Source organism: Homo sapiens, chromosome 9 (assembly GCF_000001405.40).
Source record: "Homo sapiens chromosome 9, GRCh38.p14 Primary Assembly".
Lineage (NCBI taxonomy): Eukaryota > Metazoa > Chordata > Mammalia > Primates > Hominidae > Homo > Homo sapiens.
In genome coordinates this window covers 92,636,004-92,659,956 of record NC_000009.12, presented here as the reverse complement: position 1 = coordinate 92,659,956, position 23,953 = coordinate 92,636,004, and the positions used below count along the sequence as shown (strand labels likewise).

General features: G+C 49.8%; 1 protein-coding gene across 3 annotated transcripts in view; it reads left to right on the top strand.

Moving 5' to 3' along the window:
- IPPK (inositol-pentakisphosphate 2-kinase) overlaps window positions 1–23,953 on the top strand; it is a 56,949-nt gene that overhangs the window by 10,175 nt on the left and 22,821 nt on the right. For all 3 annotated transcript variants that reach the window (NM_022755.6, XM_017015041.2, XM_047423732.1), the window contains exons 2-9: window positions 1,276–1,323; window positions 3,406–3,501; window positions 7,318–7,384; window positions 10,383–10,504; window positions 11,809–11,898; window positions 17,147–17,205; window positions 19,175–19,247; window positions 21,677–21,956. In NM_022755.6, coding sequence (NP_073592.1) covers window positions 1,276–1,323; window positions 3,406–3,501; window positions 7,318–7,384; window positions 10,383–10,504; window positions 11,809–11,898; window positions 17,147–17,205; window positions 19,175–19,247; window positions 21,677–21,956 — 835 coding nt within the window. The remainder of the gene's footprint in view (window positions 1–1,275; window positions 1,324–3,405; window positions 3,502–7,317; window positions 7,385–10,382; window positions 10,505–11,808; window positions 11,899–17,146; window positions 17,206–19,174; window positions 19,248–21,676; window positions 21,957–23,953) is intronic.

Genomic DNA, 23,953 nt, shown 5'->3' with positions numbered 1-23,953 from the left:
TGATCTTGGCTTCCCCAGGTCTCAGCTTGGGGCTTAAGGAGGGGACAGCTATCTGCAGCACAGCGAGCCAGGAGCATGGCATTGGCTGGGAACTGGAGCTCAGTCAGAGGGGCCCAGGGGGCCGGGTGCCTGGGATTTAAGAGCAACGACGTACATTGTCTAAGTAGGGCTGCGGGGAGCGGGTGGGGGAGTCTGGCTTGGTCTCCATAGGGCCTTTGTTGCTCCTTAGGCATCTTTTGATCTAGAAAATGGCCCTTTCTAAGCCGTCTTTAGTGCAGCCTGCTTCCTCCCTCCTGCTTAGGCTTTGCCCTGTGGCCTCGGCAGGGGCGCTTCCCAGGGCATTGGACCCCCCACCTTTGCACTGCCGTTAGAGCCCCTCCCAGGCGCATTCTCCTCCTACATATAATGTACGTTCTTAGAATGTATTTTTTTGAACATTTAAAAAATTGAAATATTCAAAATAAAGATAAATTAAAAAGAAGTTATTGTAATCATTGCTACTTGGAGATGTTAAACTTGTGCCGAATGTCCTTTCAGACCTTTTGATGTAGACACATCAATACTTATTTTATTTAAACATTTTTATTTTAAAAACTTGAAGTGTAACGTACCTGCAGAAAAGTACTCAGATCGTGGGTATAGCTTAATTATCACAAAGTAAGTGGACCCATAATCCTCTGACCAGTCCCTTCTAGAACCTTCCTTAGCAACTATTCATGCATGCCCAAGGGGTGGGCACAAGGGGTCAGTGTTACCTGTTTTTTGAACTTTATATAAATAGAATTACACCCATACGTGTGTGTGCTCACGTGTATTTCTCTTTTTATGAAAATAGGCTCATTCTGTAAGCCCCATTCGGTAACTTTTTTCATTTAACAGTATGTGATAACCACAAATCTGTGTCCGTAAGTACTGATCTTTCTTATAAATCACTGACTGTGTGATTTATAAATCACACTGAAATGTGTGCCACTGTGTTTAAACCATCTCATTATTGTTGGGCATTTAGGTTATTTCCATTTTATTTCTTTCCTTAAGATAAAGTCCTGGGAGGGGCTGGCTGGTCAGAGGCTGAAGGTTCTTGGTTGTCCCACTGCCCAGTGTGCCCTTGCTGGGTCCCAGCCCTGGCCTCCCTGCCCTGGGGGCTTCCCAGCCTCCTTGCTGTGGAGCTTCACTGTGGACTTTGTCCACTGAGGATGGGACCCCCAAACTGACTGACACCTTGTGCCTTGGCTTTGAGCAAATACTAATCAGATTTGTTTTATTTTCCAACAGCGCTGCGTCGTGCTGCGGTTTCTGAAGTTTCCTCCAAATAGGAAGAAGGTAAGATGGGTGGGTTTGCACCCAGACTTACAACAATTATTTAAGAAAACTCTGATTTTTTTTTCCGATGTAGAAACATTGATGCTAGTTGTAGCATTCAAAGATGATACAAGCATTCAGTGCAGAAAGTGGTGTGTCCATCATTCCTGATATAAAACTGACTGGGTCCAGCACGTTAACCCATGTGTCACTGTGGTAGTCTATGTGGCGCTCAGCCAGGAGCTGCCCTGGCCTGGCCTGTAGGTCCTGCTCAGAGGGCCCTGCTTGTGGCGAGGACCCCAGGATCAGGCAAGCTTTGCGTTGCCGAGTTCCATAGCACCTGCTGCCTCAGTTTCCCCATCTGTGGAATTGTGTCTATGAAAATAGAGTCTCCAGTGTGGTGGTAGACAGTCTGTGTTAAACATTGTGGTGGGAGGGGGTCGTTAGGTTTCTCTTCTCTGAGTCATCCAAGCAAAATGCCATGGACCACCCGTGAAAAAGCATTGCCCTCTCTTTTTTGACCACTGAGTTGCAGCTTTCTGTGCAAATCTCTGTTGGTCCTGGGGTGCATACCGAGTCGCGGAGGCTTCCTGCATTCAGGGCCCTTCTCTGCTCCCCATCTGATGCGTGGGTCCTGTGAGGGGACACATGCAGCTGAGCTGGGGGTGAGCTCCTGGATGGTGGCTGTTCCACTGTGGGAGCAGGCGGAGGCTGGCTTGGGCAATGGTATGGGGTTGGTGAGTCACTGCCCCTTGAGGGCTCCTGGGACATGGCAGGTTGGAGCATCTGAGGTAGAGGTCATAGAAAGGGAGGCCGGGGGGTGGTGGTGGGTGGAGGTGACAGCTGCCGCGTGGGCACAGTAGAAAGAGGGGAGAGAGCCATGGGAGAAAGCTGCCGTTGGTGGGGCCACAGTGGGTGTGGGGTCGAGGCAGGCAGGCGGAGGATAGGAAGGCCCCACTGTCTTGCGGTTTCTGCCTCAGCTGCTGAAGAGAAATAGGCCTAGGTGGTTTTGGTTTGTGGAACGCATCCCATGGAAACAAAGTCCATGCCTCCAGCCTTCTCTGTCCCCTTCTTTGCTGCATTCAGTGACTGCAGAGCCCAAACCACCCTAACCTTGACTCCCCCAAGGCCTGGCATCTGTGGCCCCTGTCAGATCTTCCTGTGTGGAGTGGCCGGGGCAGTGTCTGCCAGGCAGCAGTTGGCTACATTTCCTCTGTAAATGACATAATGTGGCACACTGTGTGATCAGTGGAGACTTGAGTGGTAACTTTTCTGTTGACCAGGGGGGCTTTATTTTTTTTTTTTTGAGACAGAGTCTCGCCCTGTCATCCAGGCTGGAGTGCAGTGGCACGGTCTCGGCTCACTGCAACCTCTGCCTCCTAGGTTCAAGTGATTCTCCCGCCTCAGTCTCCTGAGTAGCTGGGATTACAGGTGCCCGCCACCATGCCTGGCTAATTTTTGTATTTTATTAGAAACGGGGTTTCAGCATGTTGACCAGGCTGGTCTTGAACTCCTGACCTCAGGTGATCTGCCTGGTTCAGCCTCCCAAAGTGCTGGGATTACAGGCATGAGCCACTGCTCCTGGCCAGGGTTTTTTTTGTCAGAAGCTGTGACCACAGCTGTACTGGGCCATTGAGGGACATGGGGGTGATTTCTGTCTCAACCAGTTTCATCACCTTACTGACTCTTTAAGAACCTCTGACTGGGGAAAGAATATTCTACATTTAGAGGCTAAAGAGTAAAATCTCTTTAGAGATTGAGATGTGAGATGTCGGAGGTTTTCAAAGTCACATTCCTTGGAAGGCATGTGTAGGGGCCGCTTTGGGAGAAGGGCAGACGGGAGGCGGCAGCAGTGCGGTCCTCAGACTGCTACCTTCCCAAGTCTCTGGGCCGAGGAGGGTGGCATGGCTGGGGAGGGACGCTGGTGAGGAAGGGCACTGGGGACCTTCCCCTGGGTCTGAGGGCTGTCACCCGGGTTCTGTCTGTGGCTGGGATGTCCCCCTTGCTTGTGGTGGGGTCCGTGGTGGTTTTTGCCTCTCCCCTCAAGCAAGGCTCTGTTGGGAGGTCCCATCACGAAGGCTGTCCTGTGGTTGTCTCTTACAGACCTCGGAAGAGATATTTCAACACCTGCAGAACATAGTGGACTTTGGGAAAAATGTCATGAAGGAGTTTTTGGGGGAGAACTATGTTCATTATGGGGTAAGTGCTTTTTATTCACATCTGAATTCTTGGGCATGTTTTGCATCAACACTGCCAATTTCCCGGTGATCTTTGGAACTTTGTGCTTAATGATAACCCGCGTCCAGCTAGTCTCCAAGTGTTTCTCATTTGCTGTGCTGGGTGGCAGCAGAGTGGATACTGCAGTTTCTCTTTCCTAGCTGAGAAGCATGGGGTTCAGAGGGCCCACGTGAACCCCTGTTCTCCAGGGCCCGTCTCTGCCAGCCCTCCTGAAGGCTCCTGCTGGGTGAGGGCTCTTGAGCAATGCCCCTCAAGCAATGGCATTGCTCTCTGCCCCTGGGCACCTTTGAACACAGGAGGCCCTACATGGGAGGGTGGTGGCACCTGCTGGGGCTGTCCTGGGGTCGGCTTATCACACCCAGGAAGGGCCTCCGCTGCCCAATGAATGTTAAAAGCTGGGGTTTAGAGAAAAGCCGTGGGAGCCCCTGGGTGTTGCCGCCTGTGCTGGGGTCTGTGGGAATGGGACTAAGATTGCCAGCCCTGGCTCACTTCTTGCCTGGGCCTGTTCTCTGAGCAGATCTGTAGTTTTGAGACCTGGACAGGCCCCTGGGTCCCACCCTTCTGCAGCTGCTGTGGGTGTTGACTTGCCTCTAGCCTGTTCACTGCACTGTTGTGATGTTGGGAGTGTTTGGGGGTCACAGTTCCCCTGTTAGGAAGATTCATGCAGTTTTTTCCCTAGGGCATATCCCTTAGATGGCTCTGTGCCGTGACAAGTTTTCTCCTTGAGGAAGGAACATTCTTGGAGGCAAGATCCACCAGAATCCTCTGTGGCAGGAGGACTCGTGTGGTGATGGCCCTTGTTGGCCAGGGGCATGGGATTAGACTCGAGGTCCCATTGGCAACCTGGTGGGGTGAGCGTTAGGGACTGCTCTGAGGGGACAGGATAGGGGAGCATTTCCAGCAATGAGCAGTCTGGCTCCAGGTTTGTCCTCAGTGGGAAGGGTCACAGTAATGAACCCACAGCAAACAGGGCTCAACCCACAAGGCCGCCTGTGAGCGCATTTCCTCTGCCTTAAGATACCGACAAAGTGAAGCAGAGCTTGCTTGCCCTGCAGGTGAGCGTGTCCCAGTAGGACGCCGCTGGGCTCTGGCGCAGTGGGAAAGTAGGTGCAGAGCCCATTCCAGGCTGACGATGCACCCCTCAGGGTCGCTGCATCTGCAGGGCCACACAGGGCCACGTGAGGGAAGAACAGATGTGTCGGTGAGTTAGGCAAAGCGTAGTTTCCCTCCTGTTTGTTGTGGGGCAAGATACAACCAGCCCTGTGATGAGACCGTGAGACAGAGCCAGGGACAGCCACACCCTGGCTCCCAGCCCTGCCCGGTGGGTGTGGCGCTGGTCTGGGCCTGTCTCCAGTGCTGGGTGTGGGAGCTGGAGAGTTTAGGAAATGGGGAAGGGGCAGAAGCTGCTTGCCTTGTTCTTCCACTGTTGCTCCTTACATACTGGAGGAACCTGAAGGCTCAGGAGTTCCACCTCGCTGCTGTGGGCCAAATCCTGGTGAGGTTGGACGCTCTCTGGCGCCAGCCTCAGCTCCGTTGGAACCTCGCATGCTGACAGTTCTGTGCCGTGGCCCAGTTTTCAGGCTGGGGACATGAGTGAAGGGACAGCCAGGCTGGCGGCTCTTTGTCCTTCTGAGCAGTTGTCCCTTTGCCATTTAGAGGGTGATGCCTGGAGGTCCTCCCACATCTCAGCTCCCAGGTTACAGGGAGCTCTGTGGGATTCCAGGGGACAGCTCCAGGATGGGATTTCTGTGGGCTTTCCCTCTGGTCCTCTTAGGTGAATACCTTGTGCAAGAGCTGGTTGGTGCGTCCTCACGTGATTGGATGGTGGCGTGGTCCACACTCGCCAATGTAGTTGGACTTTTAAGAGGATGCTTACTGTCAGTATTTGTTTGTTTTTGTTTTTTATCTTGCTCTGTCACCCAGGCTGGAGTGCAGTGGTGCGATCATGGCTCACTGCAGCCTCAACCTCCCAGACTCAAGTGATCATCCTGCCTCACACCCACCCCCAAGTAGCTGGGACTACTGGTGCGCACCACCGCACCCAGCTAATTTTAGTTTTTCTTGTGGAAATGGGGTTTCACCATGTTGGGCAGGCTGGTCTCGAACTCTTGGGCTCAAGTGATCAGCCCGCCTTGTCCTCCTAAAGTGCTGGGATTATAGGTGTGAACCACTGCTCCAGGCCAGCGTTTTATTTTGACTTTAAACACAGATATGCATATTATAAAATCAGTGATTTACAGCTGTTGGAAATAAACCACCGAGGTCTGCTTTTCACCTGGGTGACTGTGAGTTCAGGCCATGCATGGGCAGACAGCGGTGTGGAGGGTCGTTGCCCTGTATGTGGACCTGAGACCTGCGTAGCTGCTGTGTCTCCCAGCCATATGTGCTGTGGGGTGGGGGCCAAGGCAGAGTGACGGCCTTGTGTGGTTTTGGGCGATGGTTCTCACACGCGAGGCATCCAGAGTCGGCATGCGTGCCTTTTGTGCTTTTGCTTTCTTTGGAGTGGAGCCAGTACTTGGACTTCTTGAGATGATCTAATTTACGAATTTTCTTTTTTTGTTGTTTTTGTTTTTGAGACAAATTCTCGCTCTGTCGCCCAGGCTGGAGTGGCGTGATCTCAGCTCACTGCAACCTCTGCCTCCCAGGTTCAAGCAATTCTCCTGCCTCAGCTTCCTGAGTAGCTGGGACTACAGGCGTGCGCCACCACACCCGGCTAATTTTGTATTTTTAGTAGAGACGGGGTTTCACCATGTTGGTCAGGCTGGTCTTGAAATCCTGACCTTGTGATCCACCAGCCTCGGCCTCCCAAAGTGCTGGAATTACAGGCATGAGCCAACGCTCTTGGCTTCAATTTACAAATTTTCGAATGTTTACATTCCCCACTCTTGTCCATTGTGTCACCTTACCTAATTCTGTACTAAGTTTATAGTAAGTCATATTTTGTTAATTTATAGCATGTTTAGGTAAATGACAAATCAGAAGTGAAACTGGCACAGCCGACTGGGAATGGACAGGGGTGGTGGTGGAGGGGCATGGATGTGACGGCGCAGGGTGGGGAAGGCATGATCTCTGTGGGCAGGATCCCAGCATTCTTAGCCTAGCAGATCTCCTGTGTCCGTTTGGGACTTTTTCAGAAGTCACAATTCTGCCACCCTAGAAACACGAGAGGACAGGGAAGATGGTAAGCAATGTGGCTTAAATAAAAACCTTTCATTTGGGAAACTGCACAGAAGAGCCATGTGGAGGGCAGTGCTGGGCATTGGTTATACCACGTCCTTCAGGGCTGAGGAGGCACAGGCCATCTTCCTGAGACAAGTGATTCTTCAGATGCTGACCTGCTCCTCAGGTGGAAGCGTGAGGTTCTCAGGTTGTCTGAGTGGTCAGTAAGGGTCTTCCATGTGGTCTAAGAACTGCTCTGGGTCCATAAATGCTGTAGAGACCAGAAGGGGGCTCGGAAGGGGTGCTTTGTGGCGAGAGAAGCTGGCTTTGAGGCTGGTCACCACCGTGGGCCCAGCCATTCTGAGAGCTGGCCACCCTGATTGCAGTGAAATGTTGGTGTCTCTATTTAACCTGGACATGTCCTGAAAATAATAGAGCAGCTTTTATTCCCAAAATCCACACACTGATTTTTTTTTAAGCAATAAACTTTAAAAAATATTATAAATTACACATAACATAAAAACCAACAGCTCAACTGTTTTTAGGCATGCAGTTCTGTGGCATTGTGTTCATGTCATTGTGCAATTCACACTGAGAATTTCATGTATTTTCTTACAGGAGGTCGTTCAGCTACCTTTAGAGTTTGTGAAACAGCTTTGTTTAAAGATACAATCTGAAAGACCAGGTAAGGGTGTTTAACTTACAGATATTGTTTGTAATTTAAAATATTCCATTTGAAAAGTGTTTGAAATGATTACCCATGTTAGGTATATGCATTTTTCAGTAATCCTTTTTTTTTTTTTTTTTTTGAGACGGAGTCTCACTCTGTCGCCCAGGCAGGAGTGCAGTGGTGCGATCTCGGCTCACTGCAAGCTCCACCTCCCGGGTTCACACCATTCTTCTGCCTCAGCCTCCCGAGTAGCTGGGACTACAGGCGCCTACCACCATGCTCGGCTACTTTTTTGTATTTTTAATAGAGATGGGGTTTCACCGTGTTAGCCAGGATGGTCTTGATCTCCTGACCTCGTGATCCACCCACCTCGGCCTCCCAAAGTGCTGGGATTATAGGCGTGAGCCACCGTGCCCAGCCAGTTTTCAGTAATTCTTTTGCCAGAAACTTCATTATCAGGGATAGAAATCCTGGGAGCTCATGGATACAATTCTCTGTATCAGAAAACCACAGCACTGCACAGAATATGTGATGAAGAACCAGTAAAGGCAGGTGCGGTGGCTCTCGCCTGTAATCCCAGCACTTTGGGAAGCTGAGGCAGGCAGGTCACCTGAGGTCAGGAGTTCGAGACCAGCGTGACCAACATGGTGAAACACCTTCTCTACTAAAACAAACAAACAAACAAAATATATATATGTACAAAAATTAGCTGGGCGTAGTGGCGGGCACCTGTAATCCCAGCTACTTGGGAAGTTGAGGCAGGAGAATCGCTGGAACCCGGGAGGCAGAGATTTCAGTTAGCTGAGATCACGCCACTGTACTCCAACCCCAGGTGACAGAGTGAGACTCCGTCTCAAACAAACGAACAAAAAAGAACAAATTAATACCACAGAAAACAACATGAGGGAGGAGCTGGAGGTGGAGGGTCTGGGGCAGACTTAGGAACGGGAAGGGTTCCCAGAGGCCTGGGAGAGGCAAAAGGAAACTGAGGTGACCTGAGCTTCAGGAGGGAGGGCCTGGCCCAGGAGGGTCTGCAGCCCAGGGAGCTGTCCCCAACCGGAGTCTAGGCTAGGTCTGTGTCCTTCTGAGGAACAGGGAATCCAAGGGCCTTCTGTGGCATCACCTTCCCCATCCTCATGTTGTCCTTCCCCAATCCCCTCCCATCCCTTCGCCTCTCCCTTTCTCCTCCATCCCCACCCACTCCCTTTTCTGCACTTGCTGGTGGCCTTATGACAGGAATCAGGTCAAACCTTTTTTTTCAGTCAGTGATCAAAGAGATAAATTTCGTGAGTTGAGGGTGGAAATGCCTCTGCCCGGAGCACAGCCAGGCAATGAGGGTGTGGAATTAGCCAGTATAAAATTTTTTCCTGATTTGATTTGGAAAATGAAAGCAAACCATTCTCTGGGTCTGCAGTCTCTGGCTGGGGCAGGGAGGAATGGGCTTCACACTGCAGGAAAGGCTGGGGAGGCGGGAACGCCACAGGACAGTGGCTAGGCTCCAGTTCTTCCTCTCGGTGAATGCAGTCTGAGCCCGGCTCCAGGGTGCTGTCTGCAACTGCTCTGCTGCTCAGCCTGCCATTTCATAACAACCGTGGGAGGTTTATCACACCACAGTGATAAAAACCAGACTTGGAGTAAGGCTCATTATGTTAAAGGAGGAAAGCCTGTCCCTGGGGTGCCTGGAGCCCAGGCTTGTTTGGTTCTGTCCACACCACGGGTTCCAGCAGATCTGGTGCTGGGGAAATATTGGTGCACTGGGGACTGGGAAGGGCCTAGATGTGAGAGAAGGTAGAGCCTGCAGCCCCCTCCTCTTCAAGTTCCTGGGCTAAGGGTGTTGTGGAATTAGGGGACCATCCCCAAGACCACCCTCAGGATTGATAATACGCTAGAAGGACCAACATAACTCACTGTTTTACTTATGGTTATGTTTTATTGCAGGAAAAGGATAAAGATGGGACCAGCCAAGGGGAGAGGTGCAGGGGTGGGGTCCAGGAGAGACCTGGCATGAGCTTCTGGGTCCTCTCCTCAGGGGTGGTGTGGGCAGTATTCACTCTCCCATATGGAGTGTGCCCACCAGGAAGCTCACCAGGCATTGTTGTCCAGAGTTTTCACTGGGGCTCAGGCACATCGACATGGCTGACCATCGGTGTGGCTGACTGCAGTCTCCAGCCTCTCCAGAGTTTGAGCCGATACCATAAGGCGTGAAGCTACCCCCTACATAAACCAAGTTATTTTTTGTTTTTGTTTTTGTTTTTTTTTTTGAGATGGAGTCTTGCTCCTTCGCCAGGCGGTAGTGCAGTGGCGCACAATCTGGGCTCACTGCAACCTCCTCTGCCTCTCTGGTTCAAGCAATTCTCCTGCCTACGCCTCCCGAGTAGCTGGGATTACAGGTGCATGCCACCACGCCCAGCTAATTTTTTGTATTTTTAGTAGAGATGGGGTTTCACCATGTTGGCCAAGATGGTCTTGATCTCTTGACCTCATGATCTGCCCACTTAGGCCTCCCAAAGTGCTGGGATTACAGGTGTGAGCCACCGTGCCCGCCTTTTTTTTTTTTTTTTTGAGACAGAGTCTTGCTCTGTTGCCCAGGCTGGAGTGCAGTAGCACGATCTCGGCTCACCACAACCTCCGTCTCTAGGGTTCAAGCAATTCTCCTGCTTCAGCCTCCCGAGTAGCTGGGACTGTAGGCACGTGCCACCATGCCTGGCTAATTTTTGTATTTTTAGTAGAGACGGGGTTTCACTATGTTGGCCAGGCTAGTCTCGAACTCCTGACCTCATGATCCACCTGCCTTGGCCTCCCAAAGTGCTGGGATAACAGGTGTGAGCCACCTCACCTGGCCTAAACCACGTTGTTACTGTGTGTGTCCCACAATCCCCAGGGAGACATGAGGTTTTCATCAGGTACAGAGATGCCCCCTGGAACCAGGGACAAGGCGGGGCCTGTTTTGGGCAGGGATCATCTCATCTCTCTCACTGACCTTGCTCTGTGTGACCCTTGCTCTGTTTTCCAGAGTCTCGCTGTGACAAGGACCTGGATACTCTCAGTGGTTACGCTATGTGCCTTCCTAATTTAACCAGACTCCAAACCTACCGCTTTGCAGAGCACCGGCCGATTCTGTGTGTAGAGATTAAGGTGACCTGTCGAGGGGCAGATGGTGTGGGTAAAGGGGAAAGGTCAGTCTTGGGTAGTAAGTCCAAGAGTCACGTGCCTTGGGTTCCAGTTCCCACTGAAGTGAGTGGTAGGCACCCTTGGCTCCTGGAAACTCCACTTGTTTCTGTCCTTCCACAGCCCCCACCTGCGTTCTGGTTCCTGCCATGGCTCCCAGATCCCAGGTTTAGGCTCATTCCTGGTAGCTCATGATAGAAGACCCCACCCACCCTGCATGCCTGGGCTAAAACAAGCCCTGGTTGAGGGTCACCAGAGGGAAGCGCGTTGGGTCCCCCTGACCCGTTTTCCTCAGAGGGCACAGCTTGCCAGGGTCCTCTGGGTTCTTCCTCTGTGCCCCTCCCTGCTGGCCATGCCTGCTTGGTGCTTGGCTGCTGTTTGCTGTGCTGCAGGAGCCCCATCTGCAGGTTGCCCTGTAGACTGGGGAGCTCTCTTTGTCCTGCTCAGGACGAATTTTCCTGGAGGCACAAAGGCCAGTGTGACCCTCAGAGGCACTGGTGTGTCATGGCCAGGAGTCCTGAATTTCTCTGGTGCCAGGCAGTGGGGGCTGGATGGGCCAGGGCCCCCCTTGCTTCAGCTCTCTGCTTCCCATGTCGGGGGTGGCTGTCAGGGTCCCTCAGGAAGCTGCCTCACATGCCCTGGCCTTTGTTCCCCTCCTCCAACTCTAAGGCAGCAATTTCTGGGTCACACTCCTGGCCTGAGCTCATGCCTCCTGATCCTCCTCACTTGTGGGTGGATGTTCTGCTTCCCCAGCCACCATCTCCAGTGCCCGAGGCTCAGCACAGGCCTGCGTGTGGTGTATGCTCAGAGGCTGCAGCTTTTAGAGGGCACTGGGGCTTCCTTGACCTTCTGGGAGCCTAGCAACTATCAGATGGGCCTCTGTCGGGCCATGTGCTAGTGTCAGTGGGAACAATGGTTCCGATTCTTGGAGCTGGGAGTCCTGGGTCCATCTCTACTACTAGAGGCTTGCAGTCACATTCTTGAATGAAAGCATGAAGCTATTGTGTGTTGTGCTTGTGTTGAGCTAGTGCAGAGGCACCACTGACCCTCCCCAGTGAGAGTTCCGGCCGTGGGTCCTCTAGCGGAGATGTTTGTGTGATCTGATGCAGGAAGTGTTGTTCCCGCTGGGAGGTGCAAATGAAAACAGCTTCTGGGGCCATTTATGCCTAATTATCTTGCTGCACTCATTATCTTGTAGTCAGTGATATGTCTATTTAGAGGTATGTGATTTCTTCCTAAATATTTTTCCTCCTTATTTGTTTATTTTACAGCCAAAATGTGGGTTTATTCCTTTCTCGAGTGATGTCACGCATGAGATGAAGCATAAGGTCTGTCGATACTGCATGCACCAGCACCTCAAGGTGAGAGCCAATGCCCAGCTGTGGGCTACTCTAGCTGCACGCTGGGGATCTGGGCTGAGGCATGGACACACACAGTTTTCAGAAGAGTAAAAGAAAATATGGATATTTTTAGTTGACATTTTATTTCACAAAGTGATTCATGTTCAACTTTTTTATTTTTTAAATTTAGAGACAGGGTCTCTGTCACCCTGTCAGGCTGGAGTGCAGTGATGCAATCATACTCACTGCAGCCTCCACCTCCTGGACTCATGCAGTCCACCTGCCTTGGCCTCCCAAAGTGCTGGTGTGAGCCACTGCGCCCGGCCCGTGTTCACCAGATTCACTCTTTTAAATATATAATTCAGTTTTAGTCTCTTCACAAGGTTGTACAATCACCACTTCTATCTAGTTGCTGACATTTTTATCACTTCAAAGCAAGGTGTCTTCCTCTTTCTATGAATATGGTATATTACATGATTTTCGCATGTTGGACCAACCTTGCATTTCTGGGATAAATCCCAGTTGCTCATGGTGTATAATACTTTTATATGCTGCTGAATTCAGTTTGCTAGTTTTTTGTTGAGGGTTTTTGAATCATAAGGGATGTTGGTGTGTAGTTTTCTAGTGGTGTCTGGCTTTGGTACTAGTGTAATAACTGGCTTCATGGAATGAGTTAGGAATTATTTTCTTTTCACTCTCCAGTTTTTTGAAGGAGTTTCAGTATTGGTATTGATTCTTCTTGAAATGTTTGGTAGAATTCACTAGTGAAGGCATTTGGTCCTGGGATTTTCTTTGTTAGAAGATTTTTGATTACTGATTCAGTCTCTTGTTACCAATCTGTTGAGATTCTCTTATTTCCTGAGTGGGTTTTTTTGGTAGTTGTGTGTTACTAGGAATTTGTCCATTTTCATCTAATGTGATGGCATACAGGTCAGTAGTAGTGTCCCCTTCTTTCATATCTGACTTTAGTAATTTGGTTTCTGTCTCTTTTTCCTTGGTCTAGCCACAGGATTGTGTCATATTTGTTGATCTTTCAAAGAAACAACTTTTGGTTTTATTCAGTTTTCTGCTCCCCTCTCCCCCATTTTCTATTTCATTTGTCTTCACTTTAATCTTTACTGTTTCCTTCCCTGTGCTTGGATTGGGCTTAGTGTGTTATTCTTTTTCTAATTTTATTTTTTTATTTTTTTTGAGACGGAGTCTCGTTCTGCACCCAGGCTGGAGTGCAGTGAGTAGCTGGGACTATAGGCGCCCGCCATCATGCCTGGCTAATTTTTTGTATTTTTAGTAGAGACGGGGTTTCACCATGTTAGTCAGGATGGTTTCAATCTCCTGACCTCGTGATCCACCTGCCTCGGCCTCCCAAAGTGCTGGGATTACAGGTGTGAGCCACCGTGCCCGGCCTCTAGCTTTTTATTGTAGAAAGTTAGGTTATTCATTTAAGATCATTCTTCTAATAAATCTTTAAGTAACTGCTTTCTCTTCATCCCATACATTTTGGTATGTTGTGTTTTCATTTTATCTTAATTCATTCTCTGATTTCTCTTTTGCTTTCTTCTTTGACGAACTGATAATTAGGAGTGTTTACTTTTTACACATTTGTGAGTCAAATTTTCTTTTGTTACTGATTTCTAGTTTCATTCCACTGTATTTGGAGAACATTGTTTGCATGATTTCACTCTTAAAATGTATTGAGACTTGTTTTGTGGTTTAACATAAGGTTCTTCCTCAAGACTGTTCCATGTTTGCTTGGGCAGAATGTGTAACCTGCTGTTGCTGGGTGGATTTTCTATAGATGTGTTCGGTCTAGTTGGTTCATAGTGTTGTTCAAGCCTTCATTCTTGTTGACTTTCTGCCTCGTTGCTCTGAGTGTTAATTTAAGATAATAACCTGAACAGTCTAGTTCAGGTTAATACCAACTCCATTTCAATCATAGACAAAGTTTTGCTCCTCTAAAGCTTTGCTCCCTCCCCCAACCTTTGTGCTGTTATTGGGATACAAATTAGATGTTTCTACATGATGTTCTGGGTGATACAGATTTGTAATTATTACCTTATGCAGTTGTCTCTTAAATTATATAGAGGAACAAGAATTACAAAATGTGTTTATACCTTCTTTTATATTTGCCTATGTAGTTACCTTTACTGATACTCTTTATTTCTTCCTGTGGATTTGAGTTACTATCTAGTATCCTTTATTTCAGCCAAAAGGACTCCCTTTAGTAATTCTTGTAGGGTAGGTTTTCTAGCAATGAATTCTTTTAGTTATGGTTTATTTGGCAATGTCTTAATTTCTCCTTCATTTTCAAAGGATAGTCTTGGTAGATATAGAATTCTTGGATGGCAATCTTTCTTTTAGCACTGAGGATATGTCATGATCCTGCCTCCTCCTGGCCTCCATGGTTTCTAATGAAACCATGGAGGAATCAGCTGTTAATCTTAGGGAAGGTGCTTTGTATGGGATGAGCCACTTCTCTCTTTTTGCTTTTTAAGATTCTCTCTTGGGCTTTGTCCTGTGACAGTTTGATTATGGTGTGTCTAGGTGTAGATCTCTTGGTCTTTATCCTAAAATTCAATCATTTTCTCTTCTGCCTACTCAAGCCTGTTCTTGAGCCCCTCTAGTTACTTTTTCATTTTAGTTACTGTACTTTTCAACTAAAGAATTTCTTTCTTTCTTTTTTTTTCTTTTTAGACAGGGTCTTGCTCTGTCACCCAGAGTGGACTGCAGTGGCGTGAACATGACTCACTGCAGCCTTGACTCCCTGAACTCAAGCCATCTTCCTGCTTCAGCCCCCACCAAGTAGCTGGGACTACAGGCGCACCCCACCATGCCCAGCTAGTTTTTGAATTTTTTGTAGGACAGGGTTTTACCATGTTGCCCAGGCTGGTCTCGAACGCCTCAGCTCAGGCACTCTGCCTACCTCAGCCTCCCAAAATGCTGGGATTATAGGTGTGAGCCACCATGCCCAGCCAGAATTTCTTTTTGGTTCCTTTTTATAATTTCTACCTCTCTATTGATATTCTCTATTTGTTGAGACATTATTCTCCTTGTTCTTTTTAGTTCTTTGTCCCTAGTTTCCTTTAGCTCTAAGCATATTTAAAATAGTTGATTGAAGTCTTTGTCTGGTAAGTCCAGTGTCTGGGCTTCCTCAGGGCAGTCTAGTGATTGCTTTTTTTGTTGTATATGGGCAATACTTTCTTGTTTCTTTGCGTGTTTTGTGATGATAGGTTGAAAGTGGGCATTTGAAATAATATAATGTGGCCCCTCTGGAATTAGATTCTACTCCCTCTCCAGGATTTTTTATTGCTGCTTCTTGTAGTTGTTACTGTTTGTTTAGGGACTTTTCTGCGCTAATTTTGTGAAGTCTGTATTCTTTGTCATATGTGGCCAATAAAGTCTGCTCAGTTAGCTTAGTGGGCAGCTAGTGGGTTTCCTTCCAAGGAAACCATGAAGTTAAACAATTGCCTCTAAATGTTTTTGACAAATGCCCATGGGGAAAAGGCCTCCTGCACGGGTGAGTTCTGAGCCAGGTCAGTGAAGACAGCCTTGCAAGTGTGATCTTTCCGGGAACGCTTGCAAGTGTGATCTTTCCGGGAACCCAGAGACAGGTCAAATAAGTGATTGTCTGAGAACGAGGCTTTGGAGATGTCCTGCCCTCATCTGCGTCCTCTGTGGCTGCTGGGCAGCTGGTTTTCACTGTGATTGCGGCTGTTCATTTTCAAGGTTCTGAACCTTGGAGCTAGAGATACAGGGATGGGAATAGGGCATTTAAAGTGCCAACAAGCTCACTGATCTTGCTTAGATTTAGCTGTTTTTCTTGAATAAATGCTTCCTGGATTGTTGCAAGTCTATGGTCAATTTCCAGAGTTCAAAACTTTTTGATTCTGACATTTTTTTTTAACCAGTTTTCTGATTGCCTTTACAGAGGAGAGAATTTCTGGAGGTCATTGCTCCACTATTTCACCAACATCACCCCTTCTTTTCTTTGTGGTGTGATTACTATCTAAGCTCTTAGGGGAAAGACGGTTATGTGAGCCATGCCCCTTGGGATGCAATTTTCATGGTCACCATTCACTTTCAACATATGTGACAGATGTTTAAGAAATACATTTTACTATAAAGCACTACCTGCTCATATAACTGGTAACATATGACATGGCATGAATTGGATTACCTGCCTTCCCAGGTAACTCATATTGTCAGATATATTTGCATATCTTTCCAGACTTCTTCCTGTGCCCACAAAAATATGCATGTAATTCAGGTGGAAATGAAGTGATCTCTGTCCACATGTTCTAATGTTTACATGCCTGTACGTGCATACACACACCCTTGCAAAGCAAAAATGGGATCATGCCATATGTACTTTGTCTAATTGCTTTTTTCACTTAATCCTTGAGGATTGTTTGTGATATATTCTTTAGGGCTTTTTCAGTGCATATTTGGATATATGCATGGATATTTGCACATAAGCTTTTTTTTTTTTTTAAGCAAAATTGACATTACACTGTATCCATTGTTCTGCCAGTTGCTTTTTTCCTTGAATAAATTTTGGTGACTTTTAACTCTACCTCTTTCTGGTAGTGGCTGCATATCATTTATGCATTTCTTCATTCAATAAATTGTTTGCTATGTGCTGGTCCCACTAGTGGATGGGCTGTGATTTATTTAGTCATTTCCCTACTGATGAGTGTCTCTCTTGGTTTCAGGGTTTGCTATTAGCAGTAAGGCCGCAGTGGACATTCTTGTGTCTGTACCTTTTTGCCCTGTGCTACTTCTTCTAGGTTCCTTGTAGATTTGCTGAGCCAGGGGACATAAGCATTTTAAAGTTTGGTGGATACCAGCAAGTTGCCTTTCAAAATGTTATGCCAACTTATCTTCCCACTGGCAATATGAAATTTCTTGTTAAGGACACCTTCCCTGTTACTGGATATTATAACTTCTGAAGGTTTGTTACTCTCATTACCAAAATTTAGCCATGTAATTTGAAGGTGTTTGCCACTTTCTTCCCTGCTCCTGTGAAGGGCTGGCCTGGGGGCCACGCCACATCATGTCTCACAGATGGGGCCAAGGTTTCCTTGAATGGAAGTCAAGTGGCTCCCTCCGCCACTTAGTGATGTGCACCTGCAAAGGTGGTGGCACCTTTTCCGGGGCAAGGCTGCAGCTCGTCTTCATTGTCTTCATCACTGATGCTGTTCTGTGTGTTCAGTTGGCACAGTGCAGTCACCAGCGCCAGTCACCTCATGCCCTCCTGTTGGTGTTTTCACAGGTAGCAACTGGGAAGTGGAAGCAGATCAGCAAATACTGTCCCCTTGATCTCTACTCAGGGTAAGAGAACACTTCTCCTTTGCCCCCTTGTGTCAGGTTCCCTGGAGATGGGTAGGGCGGGGGCCAGTGCCTGGTGGGGGGTATTTCGTGAGGTAGGAAGGCAGGGAAGGCCCTGTTCTGTCTTCAGGGCTCTCTTTTGCCATCAGCGCTGTAGACACCTGGGGCTTTGTGCTCCGTGCCTTGTCTCTGTGCTCACAGTTTGACGTGCTTGCTCACTTTTGGTTGTTTCCTCATCTGAATTGTGACTAGATTTGTCTTCTACTTATGTCAGAAATCAACTGGTGCTCAGCCTTGACCTCCATCCGTCTGGGCCCTCATAGTTTGGTTGTTTGTGCCTTTGATCTCTCCCTCCTCTGTGGATATTAAAAAGTCTGCTGCTGCAGTGGCTATTTCTGCCCCGGCAAGGTCTGCTTGCAGCCTCTGATCAGGTGCCTGGGCTCTGCTCCCCACCTTGGCCTGCCTCCACGCTCCCCGGCCTTCAGAGCTTTGCTGTGCATCCTGCACATTACTCTCCTGGGGCAGCCCAGAGTCCGGTCCTGGCCAGAGCCTTTGTGGTCAGGAAGGCGGTAGTGGCTGGGAGCTGGGGAGGGTCAGTCCGCAGTGGGGCCTGGGGGCCCAGCGAGCAGGCCCTGGGGCTGAAGGGGCAGCAGAGGATGCTGGCAGGGCTGAGGGTGGGAGCAGGTGGAGAGAGGCAGGACCTGGGACTCATGGCAGTGCCCTGCCCCAACTCAGGCACCCCCACCTCACACCCCCAGGAGAGAGTCCTTGGCCACAGAGCGATGTAGATTTGTGTGCCTTTGTTGTCCTTTTTGATCAGCACAGCTCCTCTTTCCAATCTCCTTTCCCTCCCTGGGACCCCTGTTACTGCAGAGCTGTTCTGGTGAGTCCGGTTTTTCTCGCTCCACTGTGTGAGTTTCTTTCCTCTTTCTTCCCCTGCTGTCCTCCAGCCATTCATTTCGTGCCCCTGCCTTTGTCAGTGCTCAGCACTGCCTCTGAGTGCGTGCCTGGTCATCATGTCAGTGCTTTTGGTTAGATGCTCTTTTAAACTTCCGGGAACAAAGATCGAACGCGGAGTTGTCTTTGGAAGTTAAAAAGTTCACAAACATTGGGAATGCTCATTCAGAAGGTGGCACCAACACCGCTCACTCCATGGCTTCAGCGAGTCTGGCGGTGCCCTCACCTGTGGGTCCCATGTGGATTTCCCTGTGCACCTAAAGGCTGTGAATTGTGAAGCATTCAGTAATAAAGATTCATTGTTGAGAATTTATTAACGTGTCAGAACATAAGTAGGGAAACCTCCCTGGAATGTTGTAGAATGCAGGCTTTTGGGAGTCAGCTAGAGTGCGTGGATACTGGATGCCTTTCTGAATGTGTGCTTGTGGGCTGTCCCTACTGGCAGGGTCAGGCTCGTGTGCTTGCATGGGCAGCTTGGCCTCCAGAGGTTCCTCCGTTGGGGGTAGGGGAGGAGGCCATCCTTGCAGCTCGTCGCTTGGAGGACGAGGGCTCCCTGGGGCTCTAGCCTCTCCTTGGCTCCCAGCACTCCCTTCGTGGCCCATCAGAGGTCTCCTGCTGCCCCTGAGCCTTTGGAAGTTGCGGCAGGAGGAACAAGGGAGGCATAGCAGCCCTTAACCCGTCTCGGGTTGGGCTGTGATGCAGCTGGTGGGGTTCCCACTCCTGTGCCTCAGTTGGGTCCCTCACATCTCCCGAAAGTCTGGGGTCAGGGCCAACCCCCACATCTCTGGTGAGTGCGTGTCAGGCTGTGGAGCTGCATCTGTGACCCTCCGGGGAGGGAGCCCATGGTGGGGCTGTAGTGAGGGGAGAATGTCACTGTTTGGACCTAGTTGGACTCTGGGTTTCCCAGCGGCCCCTGGGAGTACCCAGCATGTCCTCTGAGCCACGAGCAGGTGTGTGTGCAGGGACAGGTCAGTTCCAGCTGCATTTAAAGCATGTTAATGCTTTTCCCTTTTAGAAACAAACAGAGAATGCACTTTGCCTTGAAGAGTTTGCTGCAGGAGGCACAGAACAACTTGAAGATATTTAAGGTAAGAGCTGCTTTGATTCTATGGTGGTTTCAGGGTGGGGCTGGCAAAGGTTCAAGTGACCTCACAGATGAGGGTGTTGGGCTGGGCTGCACGTCATGTGTGTCTGACATCCCCTTTGGGGTCCTCATGCCCTGACTGGTTCAGTCATCACCTTGGACCTTCCAGTTCCAGACCTGTCTTTCCCTGACCTTTTTCTGAGCACGATTCCACAAGCATAGCATCTGAGTGACCCTGGGTTGCTCATGACCCTGGGGTGCTCGACCAAAGCCCCACCAGTTGCTGGGTGGGCCTTGGTCTCCCCTTATAAGCAGATGGGTGAACTGTGGGTGAGGATGGCTCTGGCACTATCTGGGCTGGTGTGACCTGGCCTGCTGCTGGCAGTGGTGTCCAAGGGAGAGGAGGTGGGGGTGGGGCTGGGCAGGGTTGGGGCATCTGCGGAGGAGAGGCTGCTGGGGAGAGAGGGGATGAGATGTAGGGCAGGGCAGGCCTGGGTGGCAGTCAGGGTGCCGGGTCCCTGTTAGACATGTATCCTCTGGGGTCCCCCTTGTCATCACCTCAGTCCCAGTTGTAGCCTCATGATCACACATAAGTGACACCTGGGGACAGAGTCCTGGGCTCCCTGCAGGAGCTGACAGCCATCGCAGGTGGATACTTCAGAGGAGGCAGGGCTGTTGAGTATGGGCCTCTCAGCTTCCTATGTGCCGTGGTCTGGACGAGGTGACTGGTGAACTGGAAGCCCTGGCCCCTCTCCTCGCTGCTGCACATGGCTGGCGTCCTGCTGCCCGGCTGGCTGCCTCTCAGCAGTGGGCAGATGGCGCCTGCTCTTGACCTGCCTCCCCAGGTCTTGGTTAGAAACCCATGGCGCTGGCTGCTGGGCAGTGAATTGGCTTCATTCCCTGTCTGCCTCTACCTTCCCAAATCCAGGAAAGGAAGACATATTTCACAGGCAGTTTTTATTTCATATTTATATAATTTATTTTTATAAACTCGATATTTAAGCCCTGAAGATACATTCTGTTTCATCAGGGATTTGTTTGAAGCCTGTCATAAGGCTGGCATGTTATCCCAGGTGGATCCTTTTCTGACCCCATCTGGCCTGCACCTAATGTCTCTGGAACTCTGGCTGTCTGCTACTTTTGTCAAAATCAGCTTGGAAAAGTCCTGAGGATTAGGATTGTTTCGAAAGAGTTGAAAAGGGAATGGATTAAGAGAAGGGATGCAGAATGATTTTAAGATAACAGGGCACCGCCAAGGCATGTTACCTACTGTGCGTTCCATCAGCTCTCCCGCCGATCTGGTCCGGTTCAGTATTGAAAGCCAGCAAGACAGAAAACCCTGAAAGCTCTGAAGTTCCAGGTGTGGGCCAGGTGCAGTGGCTCACACCTGTAACCCCAGCACTTTGGGAGGCTGAGGTAGATGGATTGCTTGAGGCCAGAAGTTCAAGACCAGCCTGGGCAACGTAGCAAAACCCTGTCTCTACAAAAAATCAAAAAAATTGCTGGGTGTGGTGGTGTGCGCCTGTGTTCTCAGCTACTTGGGAGCCTGAGGTGGAAGGATTGCTTGAGCCTGGGAGTTGAAGGCTGTAGTGAGCTTTGATTGCTCCACTGCACTCTAGCCTGGGCAACAGGGTGAGACCTTGTCTCAAAAACATTAAAATTTTTTTTTAAAAAGAAATAAATAAGGTTTAAAGAGTTGCTACTCTCCTGGGGTTGGCCGCTGTCAGGGGCCTTTCCCCTGGGCAGCATCCAGACCCCCATGAGTCATGGTGTTGACTCCCCCTGGGCATGGCAGCAGATGTCCCTGCCTGTGCCCTGGGAATGTGTGAATCTAAGTGTTGATGTTGTAAGGAGTTTCTTTGCTGGGCTTGATTTAAGAAGGCAGAACCGTCTTGAGCATGGACCATACTGGTGATGCCAGCAGCTTCTCCCACCATCTGGCTCAGCTGTACCACCCAGCACTGGGGTCACCCTGGGCGTGGCCTGAACCCCAGGACACACTCGTTTGTGGTGCTGGTGCTGACTGCCATCCTCACGTTTGTCTGCTCAGGGCCAGAGCCAAGGCCCTCAGGTTCTTGAGTAACTGGGCTGGTGGCTTTGGGAGTTTGTCACTTGTGGTGAGCATTTGCTCTTGGCTTCTGAATATACTGTGGATCATTGTCTGGGGGCGTTGGTCAGGCCAGGGCACTGCTCTTTAGTTTTTGAAACTTTCCTTCCTTTTCATGTCTTGAGGTTTGGTGCTTGGTTGATAGCACAGCTCGTGAGGGTGGATTTCCCCGGAGGAGCCGGAGTATGCAGCGGCCCCAGATTGGGTGGACAGCATCAGGGCCCTTGGCTTTCACCCGCTGCCTGGGATGCTGGTGGTGGGGACTGAGTTCTTTTCCTACAAGCTTGGTGGTTTGACGTTTCCCTCTTTCTTTTCCCTGTCTGAAGAATGGTGAGCTGATTTACGGCTGCAAAGATGCCCGGAGCCCCGTGGCTGACTGGAGCGAGCTTGCACACCACCTGAAGCCGTTCTTCTTCCCTTCCAACGGCCTGGCCAGTGGGCCCCACTGCACAAGGGCTGTGATCAGGGAGCTGGTGCACGTGATCACACGGGTGCTGCTGAGTGGCTCGGACAAGGGCCGGGCAGGCACCCTGAGTCCGGGGCTCGGGCCTCAGGGCCCGCGAGTCTGCGAAGCCAGCCCTTTCAGTAGGAGCCTTCGCTGCCAAGGTAGGGCCCAGCCTTCCCCAGGTAGGCGGTGGGGGCCGCAGGGGCCTTGGGACTCTGCAGTCCCCATGGGTGGCCAGGCGGTCAGCACAGCCTCCTGGGGGCTCTGGGGGATGCCACCTGGTTACGCCAGGGCTCCCAGCACGGGGCCTCGCTGCCTCTCACCCCCAGATGCAGACTCCCTTTCTTGCCTTTTATCTGCATCTGTAAATTGCAGGACACATTTGGGCTGTAGGATTTTCCCCCAGAATATCATCCATATGTTGTGGTCCTCTCTGGTTTGTTGAATGTTTTCAACCATGTTATATATCCTGTTGGATCCTCATTGCAACCCGGGGGACAGGTTTTCCTTGGCTTGTTCCTTAGACAGAGAGAATTGAGGCACAGAAATCCTGCAGGGCTGGGTCCTACCACAATGGGATGTCTTCACAAGTCTGGGGTGAAGACACAGACCCATGGGGCCTTTGGACTGCGGGACGCCTTCCTTGCAGACAGGAGCCGGGCCTGGCCGCTGCCACATGTCCTGACATCTCATGAGCTGACGCTGCCCGTGATTCTTGGCAGCCCATAGAGACCCCATGGTCTCTGGGAGCCTGAGATGGTTTGAAGACAGCAGTCCTGCTTGTGTGCAACCAGAAACCAACCCATACCCTAAGCCCTGCCTTATTATCTGTGCCAATTTTTTCTTTTGTTTTTTCAAGACAGGATCTTACTCTCTTACCCAGGCCAGAGTGCAGTTGTGTGATCTCGACTCACTGCAACCTCCACCTCCTAGGTTCAGGTGATTTTCCTGCCTCAGCCTCCTGAGTACAGGTGCGCACCGTTACACCTAATTTTTGTATTTTAGTAAAGACAGGGTTTCGCCATATTGGCCAGGCTGGTCTCAAACTCCTGACCTCAAGTGATCCGCCTGCCTTGGACTCTCAAAGTGCTAGGATTACAGGCATGAGCCACCATGTTTTCTCACTACAAATGAACTTTGTGGGGGTTTTTTTTTTCTTGTTATGAAAGTGATTCCTGATCATTTCAGAAAATTTTGTTAAAATTATGCCTATAATCTGGGCACATAATTGCTTTTAAGGAAGCCAACTGTGTCTGCAACGACAGATGGCACCAGTTGCTGAGGTGGTCTGGGGGCACCAACAGGAGGCGCCACAGCACCCCGGGGCTCCTGCAGACCTTTTTGGACATGGACACAGACAGGAGGGAGTGGAGCTGGGCCCTGGCTGCTGGGATGTGCAGTTTAAAACAATAAGATCATACTCTACATGTCATTTTGTAACTTGACTTTCTTTACTTAACTAGCATAAATCTGTATCTATATCATCACATATATGTTTTTTTTTTAAATTAATTATTTTTAAAGACAAGGTCTGTTTCTGTTGCCCAGGCTGGAGTGCAGTGGTGTGAACTTGGCTCACTGCAACCTCCACCTCCAGGGCTCAAGTGATCTTCCTGCCTCAGCCTCCTGAGTAGCTGGGACTACCGACACGCACTACCACGCCTAGTTAATTTTTGTATTTTTTTTTTGTAGAGATGGGGTTTCTCCATGTTGTCCGGGCTGGTCTTGAACTCCTGGGCTCAAGCAATCTGCCAGCATTGGCCTCCCAGAAAGTTAGGATTGCAGGCGTAAGCCACGGCGCCTGGAGATCACATGCATTTTGTTCTTTATTGACCATGCATGGATCTGCTGTAATTTTAACAAATCCCCTCTAGTTGGGCATGTGAACTTTTACTCCTGTTTCCCTGCATGTTGGCATTTTCGTGCCGGGTCCTAGTGAAATCTGCAGCTGACTACAGTTTTCCCCCTGCATGGACACCTTTCTTACTGTGTCTTTGCCTGTAGTTTGGTTCTTTGTGGGAGATGGTTGCTCCCTTCAGTGGCAGGAGATGATCTGGGACTTGGTACCTCCCAAGCTCACTTGGCACCCTGTACAGCACAGGTGCCAAACAACTGTGAGTGGCAAGTGGAGTTTTGTTTCTGCCTCTGTCCCTATGAT